General features: G+C 48.6%; 1 protein-coding gene across 8 annotated transcripts in view, besides 5 other annotated features; it reads right to left on the bottom strand.

Annotated features, from left to right (window-relative positions):
• WIPF2 (WAS/WASL interacting protein family member 2) overlaps positions 1-3248 on the bottom strand; it is a 64833-nt gene extending 61585 nt beyond the window's left edge. For 3 of the 8 annotated variants that reach the window (XM_005257083.3, XM_047435499.1, XM_047435500.1), the window contains exon 1: positions 3035-3248. The gene's annotated coding sequence lies outside the window, so the exon portion shown is untranslated. Of the gene's footprint in view, positions 1-2631; positions 2882-3034 lie in introns of those variants that run through there. The other 5 variants (NM_133264.5, XM_011524412.1, XM_005257084.3 and 2 more) reach the window with 3 other exon arrangements.
• Positions 2629-3407: an enhancer, noted in NCBI's record as "H3K27ac hESC enhancer chr17:38375397-38376175 (GRCh37/hg19 assembly coordinates)". NCBI's record gives its function as "activates a minimal SCP1, AML or CMV promoter by ChIP-STARR-seq in naive H9 embryonic stem cells {active_cell/tissue: H9 hESC(naive)}" and the evidence as "EXISTENCE:reporter gene assay evidence [ECO:0000049][PMID:30033119]".
• Positions 2629-3417: a biological region, named in NCBI's record as "H3K27ac hESC enhancer GRCh37_chr17:38375397-38376175".
• Positions 3308-3417: an enhancer, noted in NCBI's record as "active region_12135". NCBI's record gives its function as "activates an Ori minimal core promoter by ATAC-STARR-seq in GM12878 lymphoblastoid cells {active_cell/tissue: GM12878}" and the evidence as "EXISTENCE:reporter gene assay evidence [ECO:0000049][PMID:35858748]".
• Positions 3858-3907: an enhancer, noted in NCBI's record as "active region_12134". NCBI's record gives its function as "activates an Ori minimal core promoter by ATAC-STARR-seq in GM12878 lymphoblastoid cells {active_cell/tissue: GM12878}" and the evidence as "EXISTENCE:reporter gene assay evidence [ECO:0000049][PMID:35858748]".
• Positions 9301-9595: an enhancer, noted in NCBI's record as "tiled region #10842; HepG2 Activating DNase matched - State 8:EnhW". NCBI's record gives its function as "activates a minimal TATA promoter and a strong SV40 promoter by Sharpr-MPRA in HepG2 cells {active_cell/tissue: HepG2}" and the evidence as "EXISTENCE:reporter gene assay evidence [ECO:0000049][PMID:27701403]".

The following is a 25760-nucleotide window of genomic DNA, read 5'->3' as shown; positions in this document are numbered from 1 at the left end:
ACAGAAAAACATGTTTCCTTTTGTTGTTGTTGTTGTTGTTGTTGAGGTGGAGTTTCGCTCTTGTTGCCCAGGCTGGAGTGCAATGGCGCGATCTCAGCTCACTGCAATCTCAGGTGATCCACCACCTTGGCCTCCCAAAGCGTTGGGATTATAGGCATGAGCCAGCGCGCCCAGCCTTGTTTTCCTTTAAGAGACAGGTCGGCCAGGCGCGGTGGCTCACACCTGTAATCCCAGCACTTTGGGAGGCCAAGGTGGGCAGATCACGAGGTCAGGAGTTCGAGACCAGCCTGGCCAATACGGTGAAACCCTGTCTCTACTAAAAATACAAAAATTAGCTGGGCGTGGCAGCACGCGCCTGTAATCCCAGCTACTTGGGAGGCTGAGCCAGGAGAATTGCTTGAACCCAGGAGACAGAGGTTGCAGTGAGCCAAGATTGTGCCATTGCACTCCAGCCTGGGCAATACAGCAAGACTCTGTCTCAAAATAAATAAATAAACAAATAAAAAAACCAACACTACATTCTACTAGTCTTCATCAATTGACTTCATTCATCTCCACCTTCCCCAACTCTTAACTTCCCTATCTTCATCTTGATGGCAACCAATGTAACACAATATGAAATTTTTACTTTTAAAAGTTGACATTAATAAGAGTTAAAAAACTAAACATGCGGCCAGGTGTGGTAGCTCATGCCTGTAATCTCAACACTTTGGGAGGCCGAGGTGGGTGGATCACCTGAAGTCAGGAGTTCGAGACCAGCCTGACCAACATGGTGAAACCCCATCTCTACTAAAATACAAAAAATTAGCTGGGCGTGGTGGTGCATGCCTATAGTACCAGTTACTTGGGGGACTGAGGCAGGAGAAGCGCTTGAATCCGGCAGGCAGAGGTTGCAGTGAGCCGAGATCACGCCACTGCACTCCAGCCTGGGTGAAAGAGCGAGACTCCGTCTTAAACAAACAAACAAAAAAAGAGACAGAGAGAGAGATGGGGTATTGCTACGTTGCCCAGAATGGTCTCGAACTCTTAGACTCAAGCAATCCTCCTGCCTCAGCCTCCCAAGTAGCTGGGATTACAGGCAGGTGCACCATTGTATGTCTTTTAAATATCAATATCTCAATCTCATTTTCAGAGATCACTTCTATGCAACCACTTTAAAGATCCCATGTGTTAAGACAAACTTTTAGAGGCAGGGACAGAGAAAACCTATATTTCAAAGGGGAAAAAAATGAGAGCTTAATAATTTGCCTTGAAGTTATTTACTAAATCCATAGGTAGGCTAAAACTGTCCTTATTCCCTGTGGTTCTCTTCTGATTTGTAAAAGGAGAACAGAATAGCCAAAAACATTCAGTAAGACAGTCAAAAACCAAAACCGTAAGGCAAAAATAACAGCATGAAAAAGGACGGGGACCCTGGGAGAGCCCAAAGCAATAACAGATTATTCAAGTCCTTTAAAAAATATGAATTCTGGACAGGCGCAGGGGCTCACGCCTCTAATCCCAGAACTCTGGGAGGCAGAGGCGGGCGGATCACGAGGTCAGGAGATCCAGACCATCCATCCTGGCTAACACAGTGAAACCCCGTCTCTACTAAAAATTCAAAAAAAAATTAGCCAGGTGTGGTGGTGGGCACCTATAGTCCCAGCTACTCGGGAGGCTGAGGCAGAAGAATGGGCGTGAACCCGGGAGGCGGAGCTTGCAGTGAGCCGAGATCGCACCGCTACACTCCAGCCTAGGCCACTGAGCGAGACTCCATCTCAAAAAAAAAAAAAAAACGAATTCTGGGCCAGGCACAGTGGCTCATCCCTGTAATCCCAGCACTTGCGGAGGCCGAGACAGGAGGATCACTTGAGCCCAGGAATTCCAGACTAGCCTGGACAACAGGGCAAGACTCTGTCTCCAACAACAACAACAAAAAAATATATATATATACATATATATATATATATATATATATATATATATATATATATATATACACACACACACGTTAGGCGGGAGTAGTGGTCACACCTGTGGTCCCAGCTATTGGCGGGGCTTAGGTGGAAGGACCACTTCAGCCCGGGAGGTCGAGGCTTTAAGGAGCCATGATCATGCCACTGCACTCCAGCCCGGGCGACAGAGTGAGACCACGTCTCTTAAAAGAAAAAAAAAGAAAAAAGAATTCCATCACATATCAGTTCCTTGCCTCAATGCTATTTTTAAGAACTTTCCTTCCTGATAAAAAACTCGACCATACACACTGCCATGCTGAACACTTTAACATTTCCATCTTGGCCGGGTGCAGTGGCTCACACCTGTAATCCCAGCACTCTGGGAGTCCAAGGTGGGAAGATCGCTTGAGCCCAGGAGTTCAAGACTAGTCTGAGCAACATAGCCAGACCCCACCTTTAAAACAAAAAAAAAAAAATTCCATCTTCCCTCACTTCACACCACTTCAACATGAACCCTCAACTCCAGACGTTCCAATGCGCATCTTAACATTCTCAATCCAACCTTTAACTAAATTCTGATTCCTTTTCAAAGAACGCTCTCAAGATTCCCTCTAGTGTAAGCAGTTTCCCGAGCCATCTTCCCAAACACTAGCTTTCACCTAACTCAATCCCCAAAATGTCACACTGGACTCCTCACCCACAGCATCCTGCTAATTAGCCGTTCCCAACAGGTCCTCCGTTCCCGTCTCCCTTTTTGCGCACGATTACCTCGTTCCTCACAGAGTTGCCGCCTTAACTCACCCAACCCTTCAGGAGCCCTTATTGCCTGTCTCTCAAAAACGTTCCTCCCCATTTTTCCAGTCCCCGCTCGCCCCATACCAATATTCGACCACTCCTCCCCAGATTCCCCACGCCCTCTCTCCTCCAGGTTCTTCCGATACAGTCCCCCGGCCCCCCGCCCCTCAGGCCCCACCCGCAAGACCCCTCTCCCCCTCCGGCCCCTCCTCTAATGCCCCCCTCTCTTCTCAAGCCCCGCCCCGAGCCCCCCTCCCCGCGACTTTCCCTCCCACTCAGGTCCGCAGGTCATTTCAGCGACTGACCCAGCCGCCCCGGCCTCTTTCCGACCTGGCCGCAGCTGCTCTGGGAGCGAATCCTCTGCCGCCTACACTCCGGCTTCGTCCTGTCCTGCTCGCCCCCCGGCAAGCTCTTTCTCGCCGTCGCCGCCGCCGCCGCCGCCGCCGCCGCCGCCACCGCCCCTTTTGCCAACCCGGAAATGGATCTGCTCCCACCGTCCCCAGCGTCCGCGAACAAAATGGAGGCGGGGGAAAAAGGAGGAGAGAGCAGGGAGCGGAGAGATGCGAGACGCATGCGCCCCTGGGAAGCCCGCCCCCTGCCGGCCCACGTAAAGGCGGAAGCGGTTGAGTGGACGCCATCTTAGGAAGGTCACAGGAATTCCGCTTACCAGCTAAAAGCTGGGTTTGCAACTTTAGCTGCAATTGGAATCACCTGGCAAGATTTAAATACTATGATGCCTGGTTCCCACCCCTGGAAATTATAATTTAATTCTGGGGTGCAGCCTAGGCATCAGGAAATTGTTGCAGGTGATTCTAACGTGTTGCCAAGGTGGAGAACCACTGAGCTAAACAGTCATTGTTGAATATACTCCTTTCGTCTTTAATCCGCCGCACACACACACACCCTCCCCCCTAAATATCCTTCCTTAATCTCGAGTTAACGAAGAACCCGCCTCGGCCAACCTTGCAAAGGCCAAGTAGTCAAGCTCCGGTTGTCATGGCAACAGAGGCAGGCCACTGCTCACAAGTCATCATTTACGTCATCTTACCCACCTGACTCGAACACCGTCTCTTCTTTCTCGGGCTGGGGTTTCCTCCAGCTTCCAGGGCTATAGGATGGTGCTGTGGACCCCTCCAGCTGCTTGGGCCAGAGAGAGAAATCCTGTGCCCTCTTTGATGGAGCTGCTGTTAAACCCTGACAGCTGACTAAGTATCTCTCCCTAGTCCACCCAGAAAAGCGCTTTCCATTATAGCTTCAAAATACTCTTGGTTTAATTCCATTCCCAGCACAGAATCCGAAGTAAGGGGGCAAGATTGGGACTTAGTCCCCATTACTTACAAGCTGTGTGCCATTGGGCCTTAGCTACCCTATCTGTAAAATGGGTCTAATAGTGCCTGTCCCGTCTGTCTCATAGAGTTGTTGCAAAGCTGAAATCAGTTAATGAATGGGAAAACGTGATAGAGCATAAGTTGTTATTATTTTTGTTTTCCTTCTATTCTGCCATGAGTAGTACTAGGCACCACCCACTAGTCAAGTAAATGTCACATTGAGTACCTGCTAAACACCAGGAGATGGCTACAGAGGTGACTAAGACAGAGCCTCTGCCCTCAGGGAACTCACTACGTTGGTGGGCAGACTGGCATAAACAGCTAGCTGAGATACAAGTCAGCGTGTGATTAGTGCTGTGGGACGTCAGACAAGGGAGCAATTAATTCCTGCTAAAGAATGGAAGGAGGTTTCCTAAATGGTTTGGAGCTGGGCCTTGAAGGATGAATGGAATTTTATTATTAATCAGAGAAGGCAGGGAACACAGCAGGCATAGGGATCAAGGACACGAGGTAAAGATTTTCAGCTGTCTACATCCTGCATGGCCATACGTGGGGCGATGGAGCCAGGGAGATGGTGGGTCCAAACACCTTACCAGAGCCTCCCAACTCTTCAACCTCATCCCCTGCCTGTCCCCTCCTCACTCACTCTACATTATGAGGACCTGATTTCTATCACTGCAATGTACCCCATTCAGCAGTTCCCACCTCAGGGACTGTGTACTGGCTATCCTCCGCCTCTTCCTCATTTTTCAAGCCTTACTGCAAATGCTTCGTCCTCAGAGGGCATTCACTGCCCACTGTAGCTAATGTAAAGCCCCATGCTCTATCACACACTCTGTGATAAGGGCAGCCGCTGGGATGAATATAGGGACATCTCACCCAGACTTGGGGAAATAGTGATATAGGCTTCATGAAAAAGGTAAATGGCCCAAGTGCAGTGGCTCATGCCTGTAATCCCAGCACTTTGGGAGGCTGACAGGGGGGATCGCTTGAGCCCAGAAGTTCAAGACCAGCCTGGGAAACATGGTGAAATCTTGTTACTACAAAAATTACCCGGATATAACCGGGCACGGTGGCTCACGCCCGTAATCCCAGCACTTTGGGAGGCCAAGGCGGGCAGATCACCTGAGGTGGGGAGTTCGAGACCAACCTGACCAACATGGTGAAACCCCGTCTCTACTACAAATACAAAATTAGCCAGGTGTGTTGGCACATGCCTGTAATCCCAGCTACTTGGGATGCTGAGGCAGGAGAATCGCTTGAACCCAGGAGGCGGAGGTAGCGGTGAGCTGAGATCACTCCATTGCACTCTAGCCTGGGCAACGAGAGTGAGACTCTGTCTCAAAAAAAAAAAAAAAAATTAGCTGGACACGGTGGTGTGAGCCTGTGGTTCCAGCTACTTGGGAGGCTGATATGGGAGGATCACTTAAGCCCAGGAGATCAAGGCTGGGCTGAGCCATGATTGGCCACTGCACTCCAGCCCGAGCAATAGAGTGAAACCCTGTCTAAAGGAAGAAAAAAGAAAGTAACTAAGTGAGGCCATACCCATATTCTAAGTGAGACTTGAGGGACAGGTAGGAATTGACCAGGGAAGAAGTGAAGGAAAAGCATTGTAGGGAGAGTTTGGGCAAAGCAAGAAGAATCATGGCACATTCCAATAACTGAACGCACTTTTTTTTTTTTTTAAGAGACAGGGTCTTTTAAAGACATGCTGCAGTGCAGTGGCACAGTAATGGCTCACTGCAGTCTTTTTTTTTTTTTTTTTTGGAGACAGAGTCTCGCTCTGACGCACAGGCTAGAGTGCAGTGGCGCAATCTCGGCTCACTGCAAGCTCCGCCTCCTGGGTTCACACCATTCTCCTGCCTCAGCCTCCCGAGTAGCTGGGACTACAGGCACCTGCCACCATGCCTGGCTAATTTTTTTTTTTTTTTTGTAGTTTTAGTAAAGACGAGGTTTCACCATGTTACCCAGGATGGGCTCGATCTCCTGACCTCATGATCCGCCCGCCTCGGCCTCCTGAAGTGCTGGGATTACAGGTATGAGCCACTGCGCCTGGCCTGCAGTCTTTTTATTTTTTCTATTTTTTGAAAATGAGTCTCACTCTATTGCTCAGGCTGGAGTGCAGTGGTGTGATCTCAGCTCAATGCAACCTCCATCTCCTGGCTTCAAGCGATTCTCCTGCCTCAGCCTCCCGAGTAGCTGGGACTACAGGCACCAGCCACCATGCCTGTCTAATTTTTGTATTTTTTTTTTTTTGAGACAGAGTTTCTCTCTTGTTGCCCAGGCTGGAGTGCAATGGCGCAATCTCAGCTCGCCTCCCGGGTTCAAGCGATTCTCCTGCCTCAGCCTCCCGAGTAGCTGGGATTACAGGCGCCTGCCAACACGCCCGGCTAATTTTTTGTATTTTTAGTAGAGATGGGGTTTCACCATGTAGGCAAGGTTGGTCTCAAACTCCAGACCTCAGGTGATCCACCTGCCTTGGCCTTCCAAAGTGCTGGGATTAGAGTTGTGAGCCACTGCGCCTGGCCCTAATTTTTGTGTTTTTAGTAGAGATGGGGTTTCACCAAGTTGGCCAGGCTGGTCTCAAACTCCTGATCTCAGATAATCCATCCACCTTGGTCTCCCAAAGTGCTGGGATTATGGGCGTGAGCCACCACACCTGGCCTGTAGTCTTGAACTTCTGGGCTCAAGTGGTCCTTCTGCCTCAGCCTCCTATTTGGGACTGCAGGCACTGGTGACCACATGCAGCTAATTTTTACATTTTTTTTCTTTTTCTTTCTTTCTTTTTTTTTTGAGAAGGAATCTCGCTCTGTCCCCCAGGCTGGAGTGCAGTGGTGCAATCTCGGCTCACTGCAAGCTCCGCCTCCAGGGTTCATGCCATTCTCCTGCCTCAGCCTCCCAAGTAGCTGGGACTACAAGCGCCCGCCACCACGCCCAGCTAATTTTTTGTATTTTCAGTAGAGATGAGGTTTCACCGTGTTAGCCAGGATGGTCTCGATCTCCTGACCTCGTGATCCACCTGCCTAGGCCTCCCAAAGTGCTAGAATTACAGGCGTGAGCCACGGTGCCCGGCCAATTTTTTTCTTTTCACAGACACAGCATCTCCCTTTGTTGCCCAGGTGGTGTGGAACTCCTGGCCTCAAGTGATCCTCCTACTTCGGCCTCCCAAAGTGCTGGGATTACAGGTGTGAGCCACCTCACCTGGTTCAGAAAATATATTGATATAGAGTTAGAACTTCTGGGGGAGGCAAGAAATTAGGTTACAGAAGTCATCATAAGTTTGACATTTAGTAACACTTACCATGTGCCAGGCACTGTCAAAACCTCACATAGCTCATTTAATCCTCTCAATAACTTTCTGAGGCAGATATTTTTAAGCCCATTTTACAGATGAAGAAACAGACACAGCAAGGTTAATCATCTTGCTCAAAGTCACATATCTATAAGTAGCGAAAGTAAAAGTATCTCCAGAGTCTGTGTTTTTTGTTTGTTTGTTTCAGACAGTCTTGCTGTGTTGCCCAGGCTGAAGTGCAATGGCGCGATCTCGGCTCACTGCAACCTCTGCCTCCCGGGTTCAAGCAATTCTTCTGCTTCAGCCTCCCGAGTAGCTGGGATTGCAGGCACATGCCAGCACGCCCGGCTAGTTTTTGTATTTTTAGTAGAAATGAGGTTTCATCATATTTGCCAGGCTGGTCTTGAATTCCTGACCTCAAGTGATCCACCTGCCTTGGCCTCCCAAAGTGCTGGGATTACAGGTGTAAGCCACCACACCTGGCCCTTTGTTTTTTTGTTTGTTTGTTTGTTTGTTTTGAGATGGAGTCTCGCTCTCTCGCCCAGGCTGGAGTGCAGTGGCGAGATCTCGGCTCACTGCAAGTTCCACCTCCCAGGCTCACACCATTCTCCTGCCTCAGCCTCCTGAGTAGCTGGGACTACAGGAGCCCACCACCACACCTGGCTAATTTTTTTTTTTTGTATTTTTGGTAGAGACGGGGTTTCACCATGTTAGCCAGGATGGTCTCAATCTCCTGACCTCGTGATCCGCCCGCCTCGGCCTCCCAAAGTGCTGGGATTACAGGCGTGAGCCACTGCGCCCGGCATTTTTTTTTTTTTTTTTTGAGACAGAGTTTCACTCTTGTTGCCCAGGCTAGAGTGCAATGGCGAGATCTCGGCTCACCGCAACCTCCACCTCCTGGGTTCAAACTATTCTGCTGCCTCAGCCTCCCTAGTAGCTGGGATTACAGGCATGTGCCACCATGCCCAGCTAATTTTGTATTTTTAGTAGAGACGGGGTTTATCCATGTTGGTCAGGCTGGTCTTGAACTCCTGACCTCAGGTGATCCGCCAGCCTTGGCCTCCCAAAGTGCTGGAATTAGAGGAATGTGCTACTGCGCCCAACCCCTTTTTTTTTTTTCGAGACACATCTTGCCCTGTCGCCCAGGCTGGAGAGCAGTGGCATGATTTCAGCTCACTGCAAACTCCACCTCCTGGGTTCAAGCAATTCTCCTGCATCAGCCTCCTGAGTACCTGGAATTACAGGCGTGCTCCACCACACCTGGCTAATTTTTGTATTTTTTAGTAGAGAAGGGGTTTCACTATGTTGGCCAGGCTGGTCTGGAACTCCTGACCTTGTGATCCACCCTCCTCGGACTCCCAAAGTGCTGGGATTACAGGCGTGAGCCACCGCACCCCGCTGAGCCTGTGTGTGTGGTTTTTTTTTGTTTTTTGTTTTTTGTTTTTTTGAGACGGAGTCTCACTCTGTCGCCCAGGCTGGAGTGCAGTGGCACGATCTCGGCTCACTGCAAGCTCCACCTCCCGGGTTCACGCCATTCTCCTGCCTCAGCCTCCTGAGTAGCTGGGACAACAGGCACCCACCACCACGCCCGGCTAATTTTTTGTATTTTTAGTAGAGACAGGGTTTCACTGTGTTAGCCAGGATGGTCTCGATCTCCTGACCTCATGATCCACCCACCTCGGCCTCCCAAAGTGCTGGGATTACAGGCATGAGCCACCGCGCCCGGCCTTTGTGTGTTTTTTTTTTAGATGGAGTCTCATTCTGTCACCCAGGCTTGAGTGCAATGGTGCGACCTCGGCTCACTTCAACCTTCACCTCCCAGGTTCAAGCGATTCTCCTGCCTCAGCCTCCCGAGTAGCTGGGACTACAGGCGCATGCCACCACACCTGGCTAATTTTTGCATTTTTCTTAGAGACAGGGTTTCACTGTTAGCCAGGCTGGTCTCGAACTCCTGACCTCGTGATCTGCCTGCCTCAGCCTCCCAAAGGGCTGGGATTACAGGCATGAGTCACCATGCCTGGCTGAGTCTGCGTTCTTAATGTCCTGGCTGGTGACTTTCCACCCTACCATATCCAATGTCACAGGGTCTTGCTCCGTCACCCAGGCTGGAATGCAGTAGCACAATCATAGGTGGCTGTAACTTGGAACTCCAAGGTTCAAGCAATCCTGCCACAGCTTTCCAAATAGCTGTGACTACAGGCCCACACCACCATGCCCAGCTAATTTTTTTTTTGTTTTTAGTAGAGACAAGGTCTCACTGTGTTACCCAGGCTGATCTGGAACGCCTAGGTTCCAGTGATCCTCCTGCCTTAGCCTCCTAGAGTGCTGGGATTACATGTGTAAGCCACTACACCCAGTCCCAATGTTCCTTTCTTATAACAAATATTTTGCAACACTAATATCCCAAAGTGAAATGAACAGATAATATAACCTGCCTGGACACATGATTTCAAAAAACAAATCAATATGATGTCTTGATTATAAAAAAGACAAATAGGCCGGGCACGGTGGCTCACACTTGCAATCCCAGCACTTTGGTAGGCCAAGGCGGGTGGATTACCTGAGGTTAGGAGTTCAAGACCAGCCTGGCCAACATGGGGAAATCTCATCTCTACTAAAAATATAAAGAATTAGCCAGGCATGATGGTGGGCACCTTTAATCGCAGCTACTCAGGAGGCTGAGGCAGGAGAATTGCTTGAACCCGGGAAGCAGAGGTTGCAGTGAGCTAAGAGCATGCCATTGCACTCCAGCCTGGGCAATGAGAGTGAAACTCCGTCTCAAAAAAAAAAAAAAGACAAATAGAAGGATGGCGTTTCAATATGCAAATACCCAGGCACCATTACACTAGAAGATAAAGTAGTCAGATACTTGCACCCATACCTAGAATCACTAAGAGTGTGGTAGAGATAAATGCAGACTGACCTAAGGGTGTTGTATAGAACAGCATTGCCATTAGGGTTGTGATTTTCCAAAATGGTAAACAACTTTTGATAAAGTTCTGAACAATACAAAACAATTTACATAGTAGTTGCATTCTTGGAAAAAAACAGGTCATATTAAATACGTGCAAAAATATTTCATGTTTATGCCTTCCTTTGTCTGCCAGGCCAAGTACCTGGAAGACTCTGTCTCCCCAAAAAACAACTAAAAATCTCAGATAAAAATTATTATTTTTTTAAATTTTTTTTTAGACGGAATTTCACGCTCTCGCCCAGGCTAGAGTGCAGTGGCAGAATCTCAGCTCACTGCAACCTCCGCCTCCTGGGTTCAAGCGATTCTCTTGCCTTAGCCTCCCGAGTAGCTGGGATTACAGGTATGCGCCACCACGCCTGGCTAATTTTTTGTATTTTTAGTAGAGATAGGGTTTCACCATGTTAGCTAGGATGGTCTCAATCTCCTGACTTCATGATCTGCCACCTTGGCCTCCCAAAGTGCTGGGATTACAAGCATGAGCCACCGCGCCTGGCCTAATTTTTTTTTTTTTTTGAAATGGAGTCTCATTGTGTTGCCCAAGCTGGAATGTAATGGCGTGATCTTGGCTCACCACAACCTCTGCCTCCTGGGTTCAAGCGATTCTCCTGCCTCAGCCTCCCGAGTAGCTGGGATTACAGGCATGAGCCACCACACCCAGCCTAAATTTTTTTAAATTTTAAATGCTTTGATGAGCTGCTGAAAAAGTAAGGAATTTTCAGGGCAAAATAAAATAAGGCAGGGGATGCAGAGAGAGGTCAGTGGAACACTGAAACAAGCTTTTACTCTGAGGGCACTTGACTAACCTGGTGAACTTGAACTTTTGTTATTGTCTCATGGGAAGGGGAAACACCCCAAAACCTCTCCAGAGGGGAATTTTTTTTTTTTTTTTGAGATGGAGTCTTGCTCTATCACCAGGCTGGAGTACAGAGGTGCAGTCTCGGCTCACTGCAAGCTCTGCCTCCTGGGTTCAAGCAATTCTCCTGCCTCAGCCTCCCAAGTTGCTGGGACTACAGGCGCGTGCCAGCACGCCCAGCTAATTTTTTGTATTTTTAGTAGAGACGGGGTTTCACCATGTTGGCCAGGATTGTCTCAATCTCTTCACTTCATGATCTTCCCGCCTCAGCCTCCCAAAGTGTTGGGATTACAGGCATGAGCCACCGTGCTCAGTCTTCAAAGGGGAATTTAATAGGAGATTCCCCCACCGTAAAGATGGGACCCACTCACGCCTGTAATCCCAGCACTTTGGGAGGCTGAGGTGGGTGGCTCACTCGTGACCAGGAGTTCCAGACCAGCCTGGCCAATGTGGTAAAACCCCATCTCTACTAAAAATACAAAAATTAACCGGGCATGATGGCAGGTGCCTGTAATCACAGCTACTCTGGAGGCTGAGGCATAAGAATGGCTTGAACCCAGGAGGCAGAGGTTGGGGTGAGCCAAGATTGTGCCACTGCACTCCAGCCTGGACAACAAGAGCGAGCCTCTGTCTCAGAAACTATATATATATTAAAAAAAAAAAATTAGCCAGACGTGGTGGCGAGCACCTATAAGTCCAGCTACTTGGGAGGCCGAGGCAGGAGAATAGCTTGAACCTGTGAGGCAGAGCTTGCAGTGAGCCAAAATTGTGTCACTGCACTCAAGCTGGGGTGACAGAGCAAGACTCTGGAAAAAAAAAAAAAGAGTTTTGTGGAAACCAAGGATAATTCTTGGTTGGGTGTCCCTTGTATTATAGCACTCCAGTATCCCTGACCACTGACCATCAAATGCCAATAGCACGTTCTTACCATTGTGATAGATGGACAACGACATTTCCAAAATGCTCCCATGAAGAGCTACTGCCTCACGCTATACTGTCAAGCTGACAGGGGCCAATTTATGAAGGACTTAATTATGTATTGAGAAAAGTTAGATTTTATCTCAAGGGAAACCATTGAAAGGCTTAAGCAGAGAAGACCAAGATGCTCTTGGTATTCTAGAAAGATACCTCTGACTGCAGCAAGGAGGATGGATTAGATGGGGCCAGGTTGGAGGCCGGAACACCAGTTGGGAGACTGCTAGGAAAGGCCAACTGGGAGATGACAGTTGTCTACACTGAGTGGCTGCTGGACACTGGCTTGGCACAAAGCCTCTGAAGTCAGGGCTGCCTGTCTGTCTGCAGAACCTAAGGCCTCTTAGTTCTCCCCACTCTTGAATAAGGTGAGACTTTGGGCAAATTATCCAACCTCTACCAGTCTCAGGTTCCTCATCTGCAAAATGAGCAGATAAGCCCAAATGGAATGCATCCCAAGTGTTTACACACATGGAAACCACTCACCAATCTTAGCCATGTTTGTGATTAGAGTATCAGCAGCAGAGATGGAGAGGGGTAAGTCTAGAGATATTTAAGAAAAGGAATGCGGGACCAAAGAGTGGGAGGACCCAAATATGATTGCTAAATTTCTGACTTGAACTCCTGCTTGGAGGTGATGTTAACACTTAGCTGGAAACAGTTGCAGAGCAAGAGGAGGGGCTGGGGCACTGGAGGAGCCCGAATAGCACAGTGGAATGACCAAGAAGAGAGATTCCTTAGATCACTGGATATTTGGGTCTGAAACTGAGGAGAGTAATCCTAGGAATTTGGGACTCATAAACTGTGGTAGCTAATTTCCAAAGATGGCTCCCAGTGAACCAGGAGTCCTGGTATTTATTGAATGTGGGGCTGGCCTGTGACTGCTCTTAACCAGTGGAATGCAGCAGAATTGAAGCTGTACCAGGTTCAGGACTAAATTGTAAAAAGACTTGACAGCTTCTACTTTTTTGCTTTTGGGAGTCATCTCCCATGTGAGAAATCAGGTACTCTGCTGCAGAGACCACCTGGAGGGAGAAGCCTGGACATGGAGAGAAAAGTCCAGCCATCCTTGTGGTCCCTTTGTTCCCACCAGGGCTCAGGACATGTGAGCTAGCATCCTAGCTAGCTCCAGTGGCTTTTTTTTTTTTTTTTTTTTTTTTTTTTGAGACTGAGTCTCGCTTTGTCAGGCTGGAGTGCAGTGGCACGATCTCGGCCCACTGCCATCTCCGCCTCCCGAGTTCAAGCGATTCTTCTGCCTCAGCCTCCTGAGAAGCTGGGATTACAGGCACCAGCCACCATGCCCGACTAATTTTTGTATGCTTAGTAGAGATGGGGTTTTGCCACACTGGCCAGGCTGGTCTCAAACTCCTGACCTCAGGTGATCCGCCCGCCTCGGCCTCCCAAAGTGCTGGGATTACAGGCGTAAGCCACTGCACCTGGCCCTCCAGTGGCCTTCTGACTGCAGCAAGAGAGACCTCAAGTGAGACCAGAAGAACTATCCAGCTAAGCTCCCATCAGCCCGGAAGATCATGAGAAGTTATAAAATGGTTGCTGTTTTTAGGCTGGGTGCAGTGGCTCACACCTGTAATCCTAGCACTTTGGGACGCTGAGGCAGGTAGATCACCTGAGGTCAGGAGTTCAAAACCAGCCTGGGCAACATAGTGAAACCCTGTCTCTACTAAAAATACAAAAATTAGCTGGGCGTGGTGGCTCATGCCTGTAATCCCAACTATTTGGGAGACTGAGGCACAAGAATCACTTGAACCCAGGAGGCGGAGGTTGCAGTGAGCCAAGATCATGCCACCGCACTCCAGCCTGGGCGACAGAGCAAGACTCTGTCTCAAAAAAAAATAAAAAGTAAAATAAAATAAAACAAAGTTGTCATTTTTAAGCTACTAAATTTGGAACTGTTTGTTATGCAGCAGTAGATTCCCAAACACAAATATGACGATGAAATCTAAGCCCAGGATTATGGAAGGAAAAAAAAAGGGCTCAAGAGGGAGCTGGGGCACTCCACATACAAGGACCAGGCTGAGGGAGAGGCCAGTGAGGAAGACTGAGAAAGAGAAGACAGGGAAATCCTGAGAACGTAGCATCCTGGAAGCAGCGATAAGTGTTCCAGAAGGAAGAATGGTCAGAAATATCAAATGCCAGCAATAGGAAAATAAGTGTTCTTGGATTTGGTAACATGGGAGTCATCGGTGCTCTTGACCCAGGCAGATTATGTGAGTGATGACAGAGAAAGCCAGATGCACTGGGTTGAGAATCAAAGAGAAACACAGAACAGCAAAACCAAACAAACCAGTAATATATGCTGACCTGGATGAGCCTCACAGGCAGAGTGTTGTGGATGGGGAGTTGCTGAACACCACATCCAGTATGATAATATTTATATAAAATCTAAAAACATTCAATTGGCCAAGCGTGGTGGCTCACACCTGTAATTCCAGCACTTTGTGTGGCCGACCGAGGCAGGCAGATAGCTTGAGGCCAAGAGTTTGAGACGAGCCTGGGCAACACGATAAAAACCCCGTCTCTACTAAAAATCCAGAAAAATTAGCTGTGCTTGGTGGTGCGCGCCTGTGGTCCCAGCTACTCAGTAAGTTGAGGTGGGAGGATCACTTGAGTCCAGGATGCAGAGGCAGAGGCTGCAGTGAGCTGAGATCGTGACACCGCACTCCAGCCTGGGTGACACAGGAAGACTCTGTCTCAAAAAAAAAAAAAAAAGAAAGAAAAGAAAAGAGAGGCTGGGCGCAGTGGCTCACGCCTGTAGTCCCAGCAGTTTGGGAGGCCGAGGCGGGCGGATCACGAGGTCAGGAGATCGAGACCACAGTGAAACCCCATCTCTACTAAAAATACAAAAAATTAGCCGGGCGTCGTGGCGGGCCTCTGTAATCCCAGCTATTCAGGAGGCTGAGGCAGTATAATCACTTGAACCTGGGAAGCGGAGGTGGCAGTGAGCCAAGATCATGCCACTGCACTCCAGCCTGGGTGACAAGAGTGAGACTCCATCTCAAAAAAAAAAGAAAGAAAGAAGAAGAGAGGACACAGAGAGACACACAGAGGAGAATGCCTTGTAATGATGGAGGCAGAGACTGGTGTGATGAGTCTAGAAGCCAAGCAAATAAAATTCACATAACATAAAACTCACCATTGTAACCACTTTAAAGCATCCAAGTGAGTATATAGTATATTTACAATGTTGTACAGCCATCACCACTATCTAATTCCAAAACATTTTCATCACCCAAAAAGAAACTCCATACCCATTAGTAGCCTCTCCCCATTCTGCTCTCACCCCAGCCCATGGCAACCAGAAACTATCTACTTTCTGTCTCTATGGATTTGTCTATGCTGGACATTTCATATAAATGGAATCATACAATATGAGGCCTTTTGTGTCTGGTTTTTTAGCACAGTTTTTTCAAGGTTCATCCATGTTGTAGTATATATCAGTACTTCATTCCTTGCTATGGTTTGACTTTGTGTCCCCACCCAAATCTCATGTCAAATTGTAATTTCCAATGTTAGGAGGGACCTGGCAGGAGGTGACTGGATCATGGGAGCAGATTTCCCCCTTGCTGATTCCGTGATAATGAATGAGTTCTCATGAGATCTGGTTGTTTAAAAGTGTGTGGCACTGGCCAGGCACATGGCTCACGCCTGTAATCCCAGCATTTGGGAGGCCAACGCGGGTGGATCACCTGAGGTCAGGGGTTCAAGACCAACCTGGCCAACATGGTGAAATCTTTTCTCTACCAAAAATACAAAAATTAGCCAGGCATGGTGATGCATGCCTGTAATCCCAGCTACTCAGGAGGCTGAGGCAGGAGAATCGCTTGAACCCGGAAGGCAGAGATTGCAGTGAGCTGAGATCATGTCACTGTACTCCAGCCTGGGCGACAGAGTGAGTCTCAAAATAAATAAATAAATAAATAAATAAAAGTGTGTGTCACCTCCCCTTCTGCTCTCTCTTTCCTGCTCATGTGAAGATTACTTGCTTCCCCTTTCCCTTTCTGCCATAATTGTAAGTTTCCTGAGGCCTCCCCAGCCGTGCCTCATGTACGTCCTGTGGAACTGTGAGTCAATTAAACCTCTTATTTTTTTTTAGATGGAGTCTCGCTCTGTTGTCCAGGCTGCAGTGCAATGGCATGATCTCGGCTCACTGCAACCCTCGCCTCCTGGGTTCAAGTGATTCTCCTGCCTCAGCCTCCTGAGTAGGTGGGACTACAGGTGCGTGCCACCACACCCAGCTAATTTTTTGTATTTTTAGTAGAGACTGGGTTTCATCATGTTGGCCAGGATGGTCTTGATTGCCTGACCTCGTGATCTGCTAGCCTTGGCATCCCAAAGTGTAGCGATTACAGGAATGAACCACCGTGCCTGGCCTAAACCTCTTTTCTTTCTTTCTTTCTTTCTTTTTTTTTTTTTTTTTTTTTTGAGACGGAGCCTGGCTCTGTTGCCCAAGCTGGAGTGCAGTGGCGCAATCTTGGCTCACTGCAAGCTCCACCTCCCGGGTTCATACCATTCTCCTGCCTCAGCCTCCCGAGTAGCTAGTACTACAGGCGCCCACCACCATGCCCAGCTAATTTTTTTGTATTTTTAGTAGAGACGGGGTTTCACCATGTTAGCCAGGATGGTCTCAATCTCCTGACCTCGTGATCTGCCCACCTTGGCCTCCCAAAGTGTTGGGATTACAGGCGTGAGCCACCGCACCCAGCCACTAAACCTCTTTTCTTTATAAATTACCCAGTCTCAGGTAGTTTTTGTGTGTGTGTGTATGTGTGTGATGGAGTTTTGCTCTTGTTGCCCAGGCTGGTGTGCAGTGTCACAATCTGGCTCACTGCAACCTCTGCCTCCTGGGTTGAAACGATTCTCCTCCCTCAGCCTCCCAAGTAGCTGGGATTAGAGGCACCTGCCACCACGCCCAGCTAATTTTTTTGTATTTTTAGTAGAGACGGGGTTTCACCATGTTGGTCAGGCTGGTCTTGAACTCCTGACCTCAGGTGATCCACCTGCCTCGGCCTCCCAAAGTGCTGGGATTACAGGTGTGAGCCACCGCACCTGGCCTCAGGTAGTTCTTTATAGGAGTGTGAGAATGGACAAATACATTCTTTTTTATGATGGAATAGTATTCCATCTTATGAATATACCACATTTTAGTTTATCTACTTTGGGCTACTACAAATAATGTTGCTATGAACAGTCTTGTACAGGGGGTTTCTTTTGGGGGGTAATGAAAATGATCTAAAATTAGCCAGGTGCGGTGGCTCACGCCTGTAATCCCAGCACTTTGGGAGGCCAAGGCAGGTGGATCACGAGGTCAGCAGTTCGAGACCAGCCTGGCCAACATGGTGAAACCCCCATCTCTACTAAAAATACAAAAATTAGCCAGGCATGGTGGCGGCCGCCTGTAATCCCAGCTACTCGGGAGGCTGAGGCAGGAGAATTGCTTGAACCTGGGAGGTGGAGGTTGCAGTGAGCCGAGACCGTGCCATTTCACTCCAGCCTGAGCAACAGAGCGAGGCTCTGTCTCGGAAAAAACAAAAAAAACAAAATTAACTGTGGTGATGGTTACACAGCTTGGTGAATATACTAAAAACCATTGATTTGTACATTTTAGGTTAATTACATAGTATGTGAACTACATCTCAATAAAACTGTTATCCTCAAAATTGCAACACACTGTTTGGAGATGTATACAAATGTAGTACAAGTTTACAGGAATGTTATACTGTTGATGAAAGAAAAATCAAGCTTTTGGCTGGGAACAGTGGCTCACACCTGTAACCCCAGCACTTTGAGACTCTGAGATGGGAAGATCCCTTGAGCCCAGGAGTTTGAGACCAGCCTGGGCAACGTAGCAAAATTCTGTCTCTACAAACAATAAAAAAACTAGCCGAGTATGGTGGTGCATGCCTGTGGTCCCAGCTACTCGTGAGGCTGAGGTGGGAGGATCACTTGAGTCCAGGAGGTCAAGGTTGCAGTGAGCTGTGATTGCACCACTGCACTCTAGCCTGGGTGACAGAGTAACATCCTGAACCCCCCCCAAAAAAAAAAAAAGAAGAAGAAGAAGGAAAGAGACAGAGAGAGAGAGAGAGAGAAAAACCAAGCATTTAAAGAATAAGTTTTATGCAGAGTTTCACTGAGGATTGCAATCTGGGAGGAGACTTTCTTTCTTTCTTTCTTTTTTTTTTGAGACAGAGTCTCGCTCTTGTTGCCCAGGCTGGAGTGCAATGGCATGACCTTGGCTCACTGCAACCTCCGCCTCCCAGGTTAAAGCGATTCTCCTGCCTCAGCCTCCCAAGTAGCTGGGATTACAGGCTCCCATCACCACGCCCAGCTATTTTTTTTTTCTTTTTGAGACGGAGTCTCGTTCTGCTGCCAGGCTGGAGTGCAGTGGCACGATCTCAGCTCACTGCAACCTCCGACTCCCTGCTTCAAGTGATTCTCCTGCCTCAGCCTCCCGAGTAGCTGGGATTACAGGCATGCGCCACCACGCCCTGCTAATTTTTCTATTTTTAGTAGAGATGGAGTTTCACCATGTTGGCCAAGATGGTCTCAATCTCTTGACCTTGTGATCCGCCCGCCTCAGGCCTCCCAAAGTGCTGGGATTACAGGCGTGAGCCACCACGCCCGGCCATTTTTTTTTTTTTTGTATTTTTAATAGAGATGACGTTTCACCATGTTGGCCAGGCTGGTCTCAAACTCCTGATCTCAGGTGATCCACCTGCTTCAGCCTTCAAAGTGTTGGGATTACAGGCATGAGCCATTGCGCCCAACCTGGGAGGAGACTTTCAGAGAGATTCAGTTAGACTGCTCCGGAGTAGTGAATACACAGGTGGTGGCGGTTCTGTATGTGCTCAGAAGTTATATTAAATATATGCTGAGAAGTTACATTAGAGCAAAATCTCATCAAAGTATGGGTGCGAAGATACATCTGGTTATAGATTACAGAGGCATAATCATTAATTCGTCACATTGTTTTACGTACAGGAAGAAGCAAAGGCCAGGATCACTGAACTTATCTTTTCGGAAATTGCAGTGACTTTGGCAAGAGACACAGGAAGCTGTGCCCTATCCTGCTTATCATTTTCAGGGCATTCTTCTGGGCTGGGGACTGTGCTCACACTGACTCAGGGGCTTTGTGAAATTCTGCTGCCAAGGGAATTGGTGAAATTCTGCTGGCAAGCAGAATTAACAAAAGTGGCTACTTAGGTTTGCTACTTTGTGTCACAATACCATACTTATGAGGGTGGTTGTCTCTGGAAAGAAAGAAAGAGGATGCAACTGGGGACAGGTACCAGGTTCAGCTGGAGGGTAGGGTTTCATTTCTTTTTCTTTTTTTCTTTTCTTTTTTTTTTTTTCAGACGGAGTCTCTCTCTGTTGCCCAGGCTGGAGTACAGTAGCACGAGCTTAGCTCGCTGCAACCTCCGCCTCCCAGGTTCAAGTGATTCTCCTGCCTCAGCCTCCCGAGTAGCTGGGACTACACACCTGGCTAATTTTTTTGTGTTTTTAGTAGAGACGGGGTTTCACTGTATTAGCCAGGATGGTCTCGATCTCCTGACCTCATGATCTGCCCACCTCGGCCTCCCAAAGTGCTGGGATTACAGAAGTGAGCCACGGCACCCGGCCAAGTTTTCATTTCCTAAGCTGGGAGGTGGAGACTCAAGTGCTCATTATATTAGTCTTTAAACTTTTTGTATGATTGAAATATTACACAACACATTTAAACATAATGTTTTTTCTTTTTTTCCCCAAATATTAGGATTCTTTTTTTTTTTTTTTAGACAGTCTCACTTTGTCACCTAGGCTGGAGTGCAATGGCTCAATCTCCACACACTGCAACCTCCACCTCCTGGGTTCAAGCAATTCTCATGCCTCAGCCTTCCGAGTAGCTGGGATTACAGGCATATGCCACTACACCTGGCTTTTTTTTTTTTTTTTTTAGTAGAGGTAAGGGTCTCACTATGTTGCCCAGGCTGGTCTCAAACTCCTGAGCTCAAGCAATCCTCCTGCCTCAGCCTCCCAAAGTGCTGGGATTACAGGCGTGAGCCACTGCACACGGCCTATTTATTTTTGAGACATGTTCTTGGTCTGTTTCCCAGGCTGGCGTGCAGTGGTGTGATCATAGCTCACTGCAGCCTCAAACTTCTAGGCTTAAGCGATCCTCCCACTAGGACTACAGAAGGAAAGTGTTTTTAAAAATGGAGACTTAAAAGGGTTTAAACGCTAAAGATGAAAGAGCTCATAGGGAGAGACTGAAGAAACAAGTTCTTCCGGTCAAATATGACTTATATCTGGGGATAGACCCTCTCAGAAGGATTCAAGATTACCCCAAGAAAGGCACTATCCTCCTCTGGGTTATGTAGCCTCCTCCCTCATCCCCAGGCAGGTTGAGAAAACAATCTTGGTGGTGACACCTAGTGGATTCAAAGGGCACTGCCTAAATTCTTCACTGCACGCAGCACACCTCATGAAGACACCTTATTTATTTATTTTTTGAGACAGAGTCTCGCTCTGTCACCCAGGCTGGAGTGCAGTGTTGGGATCTCGGCTCACTGCAACCTCCGCCTCCTGGGTTCAACTGATTCTCCTGCCTCAGCCTCCCGAGTATCTGGGACTACAGGTGACCGCCACCACACCCAACTAATTTTTGTATTTTTAGTAGAGGCAGGCTTTCACCATGTTGGCTAGGCTGGTCTTGAACTCCTGACCTCAAGTGATCTGCCTGCCTCAGCCTCCCAAAGTCCTGGGATTATAGGTGTGAGCCACCATGCCTGGCCAGGAAGGGAGAATTTTTTATTTTAAATCTGTTATTAAAAACAGTGGACTGTCAGAATCTGAATTGCTTTATGGTGTAATGTAGCTACGGTAACACTTAACAAATTTTACATGACCAACTCAACAAGCCAGATAGACACACTTGTATACCCACCCCCAGGTCACGATATGGAACATTTCTTTTATTTATTTATTTATTTATTCCTCACTCTGTTGCCCAGGCTGGAGTGCAGTGGCCCGATCTCAGCTCAGTGCAACCTCAGCTCACTGCAACCTCCACCTCCCGGGTTCAAGTGATTCTCCTGCCTCAGCCTCCCGCACCTCGACCTCCCAGAGTTCTGGGATTACAGGCGAGAGCCACCGCGCCTGGCCGATATGGAACATTTCTATCGCCCCACAGGGCTTCTTCATGCCCCTTCACGGTCAATACTTTCCCCTACCCTATTGAGTAGGCACTATTTTTACTTCTTTTTTTTTTTTTTTTTTTGAGACGGAGTCTTGTTCTGTCGCCCAGGCTGGAGTGCAGTGGCATGATCTCGGCTCACTGCAAGCTCCACCTCCCGGGTTCACGTCATTCTCCTGCTTCAGCCTCCCGAGTTGCTGGGACTACAGGCGCCCGCCACCAGACCCGGCTAATTTTTTTTGTGTTTTTAGTAGAGACGGGGTTTCACCGTGTTAGCCAGGATGGTCTCGATTTCCTGTCCTCGTGATTCGCCCGCCTCAGCCTCCCAAAGTGCTGGGATTACAGGCATGAGCCACCGTGCCCAGCCTATTTTTACTTCTATCCCCGTAGATTAATTTAGCCTGCTCTTGAACTTTTTTTTTTTTTTTTTGAGATGGAGTCTGGCTCTGTTGCCCAGGCTGGAGTGCAGTGGTGCCATCCCAGCTCACCACAACCTCCGCCTCCCAGGTTCAAGCGATTCTCCTGCCTCAGCCTCCCTAGTAGCTGGGATTACAGGCATGCGCCACCATACCCAGTTAATTTTGTGTTTTTAGTAGAGACAGGGTTTCTCCGTCTTGGTCAGGCTGGCCTTGAACTCCCAATCTCAGGTGATCCACTCGCGTTGGCCTCCCAAAGTGCTGGGATTACAGGTGTGAGCCACCGTGCCCGGCCTAAATTTTTTTTTTTTTTTGAGATGGAGTCTCGCTCTGTCGTCCAGGCTGGAGTGCAGTGGCACCATCTCGGCTCACTGCAAGGTCCCCCTCCCGGTTTCACGCCATTCTCCTGCCTCAGCCTCCGGAGTAGCTGGGACTACAGGCGCCCACCACCACGCCGGGCTACTTTTTTGTATTTTTAGTAGAGACGGGGTTTCACCCTGGTAGCCAGGATGGTCTCGATCTCCTGACCTCGTGATCCGCCCGCCTCCGCCTCCCAAAGTGCTGGGATTACAGGCGTGAGCCACCGCGCCCAGCCTTTTTTTTCTTTAGACTGAGTCTTGTTCTGTCGCTGTCGCCGGGCTGGAGTGCAGTGGCGCAATCTCAGCTCACTCCAAACTCTCCCTCCCGGGTTCAAGCGATTCCCCTGCCTCAGCCTCCCAAGTAGCTGGGATTACAGGCGCACGCCACCACACCCAGCTAATTTTTTTGTATTTTAGTAGAAACAGGATTTCACCATGTTGGCCAAGATGGTCTCACTCTCCTAACCTCGTGATCCACCCGCCTCGGCCTCCCAAAGTGCTGGGATTACAGGCGTGAGCCACCGTGCCCGGCCTTTTTTTCTTTTTCTTTTTTTTTTTTAAGAGAAAGAGTCTCACTCTGTCACCCAGGCTGGAGTACAGTGGTGCAATCATAGCTCTCTGCAGCCTTGAACTCCTGGGCTTAAACAATCCTTCCACCTCAGCCTCCTGAGTAGCTGGGACTACACACATGCACCACTATGCTTGGCTTTTTTTTTTTCTTTTTTTGAGACACGGTCTCCCTCTTTCGCCCATGCTGGAATACAGTGGCATGATCTCTGCTCACTGCAGCCTTGAGCTCCCAGGCTCAAGCAATCCTCCCACCCCAGCTTACCAAGTAGCTGAGACTACAGGAATGCACCACCATATATGGCTTTTTTTTTTTTTTTTTTTGAGACGGAGTCTCACTCTGTCGCCCAGGCTGGAGTGCAGTAGCACGATCTCGGCTCACTGCAACCTCTGCCTCCCGGGTTCAAGCAATTATCTGCCTCAGCCTTCTGAGTAGCTGGGATTACATAGGTGCCTGCCACCATGCCCAGCTCACTTTTGTATTTTTTAGTAGACATGGTGTTTCACCATCTTGGCCAGGCTGGTCTTGCACTCCTGACCTCGTGATCCATAGGTCTCAGCCTCCCAAAGTGTTGGGATTACAGGCGTGAGCCACCCTGCCCAGCCTTTTTTTTTTTTTTGAGATGGAGTTTTGCTCTTGTTACCCAGGCTGGAGTGCAATGGCACGCTCTCAGCTCACCACAACCTCTGCCTCCCAGGTTCAAGCGATTCTCCTGCCTCAGCCTCCCGAGTAGCTGGGATTACAGGCATGTGCCACCACGCCCAGCTAATTTTGTATTTTTAGTGGAGACAGTTTCTCCATGCTGGTCAGCTGGTCTCAAACTTCCGACCTCAGGTGATCCACCCACCTCGGCCTCCCAAATGCTGGGATTACAGGCATGAGCCACCGCACCTGGCCTATTTTTTTATTTTTTTGTAGAGACAAGGTCTCCCTATGTTGCCTGAGCTGGTCTCAAACTCCTGGACTCAAGGGATTCTCCTGCCTCAACCTCCCAAAGTGCTGGGATTACAGGCGCGACACACCATGCCCAGCTACATTTTTTATTTTTTGTAGAGATAGGGGTCTCACTATGTTGGCCAGGCTGGTCTTGAACTCCTGGGCTTAAGAGATCCTCCTGTGTCCAGAACTGGTTCCTTCCAGTGGGTTCTTAGTCTTGCTGACTTCAAGAATGAAGCTTCAAGAATGATGCCACAGACCCTCACGGTGAGTGTTAGCTCTTAAAGATGGTGTGTCCGGAGTTTGTTCCTTCAGGTGTTCAGATGTGTCCAGTTTCTTCCTTCTGGTGGGTTCGTCCTCTCCCTGACTTCAGGAATGAAGCCACAGACCTTCAGCAGTGAGTGTTACAGCTCTTAAAGGTGGCGCTTCTGGAGTTGTTTGTTCCTCCCAGTGGGTTCGTAGTCTCGCTGGCTTCAAGAGTGAAGCTGCAGACCTTTGTGGTAAGTGCTACAGCTCATATAGTGCGGACCAAAAGAGTGAGCAGCAGCAAGATTTATTGCAAAGAGCAAAAGAACAAAGCTCCCACAGCGTGGAAGGGGACCCCAGTGGGTTGCCGCTACTGGCTCGGGTGGCCTGGCCCCACCCACATCCTGCTGATTGGTCCATTTTACAGAGCGCTGATTGGTCCATTTTACAGAATGCTGATTAGTCCGTTTTACAGAGTGCTGATTGGTTCGTTTTTACAGAGTGCTGATTGGTGCATTTACAAACCTTTAGCTAGACACAGAGCACTGATTGCTGCATTTACAAACCTTTAGCTAGACACAGAGCACTGATTGGTGCATTTACAAACCTTTAGCTAGACACACAGCGCTGATTGGTGCTTTTACAATCCTTTAGCTAGACAGAAAAGTTCTCCAAGTCCCCTACCTGATTAGCTAGACACAGAGCACTGATTGGTGCATTTACAATCCTTTAGCTAGACAGAAAACTTCTCCAAGTCCCCACCTGACCCAGAAGCCCAGCCAGCTTCACCTCTCACTCCTACTTCAGGCCCCCAAAGTGCTGGGATTAGAGGTGTGAGCCAACATACCCAGCCTGTGTCTGGCTTCCTTTATTCAACATTAAGTCTGTGAGATTCATTCACGTGGGTATTAATAATTTGTTCTTTTTTCTTGCTATATAGTATTCCACCATAAGAATATGCCCCAATGCATTTGTCCATTCATGTGTTGAAAGACACTGGGTTTTTTTCCTTCCTTCCTTCCTTCCTTCTTTCCTTCCTCCCTCCCTCTCTCCCTCCCTCTGTCCCTCCCTCCCTCCTTCCCTTGCTCTCCTTTCTTTTTTTTTTTTTTTTTAAACAGGGTCTCACTCTGTTGCTCAGGCTATAGTACAGTGGTGCTATCGCAGCTCACTGCAGCCTCGTTAATTTTTTATTTTTTGTAGAGACAGGGTCTCACTATGTTGCCCAAGCTGGTCTTGAACTCCTGGGCTCAAGCGATCCTCCTGCCTCAGCCTCCCGAAGTGCTAGGATTATGGGCTTGAGCCACCATGCCCAGCGTGATTGGTGTTTCTGAAAGAACACCCTGGCTGCCATGTGGAAATCAAACTGGTGGCAGGTAGGGGTGGATCAAAGAGAGGAAGCTGACAGACCAGGTAGGAGGCTGCAGTAGTCATGCAGGGAAGCTATGAAGGTGGTTTGGACTAGTATGGTCATAGGGGAGTCATACAGAAGTGGATCACTCAGAAAATGCTCTGGAATTGTAGCCGATGGGACTGGCTGAGATGAATGAAGGGTGGGAGAAAGAGGCACCAATGGTGAGTCCTGTATTTTTGCCTTGAAAACTTGGGTAGGTGGCTGGGCAGTGGCTCACAGCTGTAATCCCAGCACTTTGGAAGACTGAGGTGGGTGGATCACTTGAGGTCAGGAGTTTGAGACCAACCTGACCAACATGGTGAAACCCCATCTCTACTAAAAATACAAAAATTAGCCGGGTGTGGTGGCCTCTGCCTATAATCCCAGCTACTCAGGAGGCTGAGGCAGGAGGATCACTTGAACCTGGGAGGCAGAGGTTGCAGTGAGCCAAGATTACGCCACTGCACTCCAGCTTGGGCAACAGAGAGAGAAAACCTGGGTGGATGAGAG

The sequence above is a fragment of the Homo sapiens genome, chromosome 17 (genome assembly GCF_000001405.40).
Source record: "Homo sapiens chromosome 17, GRCh38.p14 Primary Assembly".
NCBI lineage: Eukaryota > Metazoa > Chordata > Mammalia > Primates > Hominidae > Homo > Homo sapiens.
Note: the sequence above shows the minus strand (reverse complement) of the source record. Positions and strands in the feature narration are given on the sequence as shown.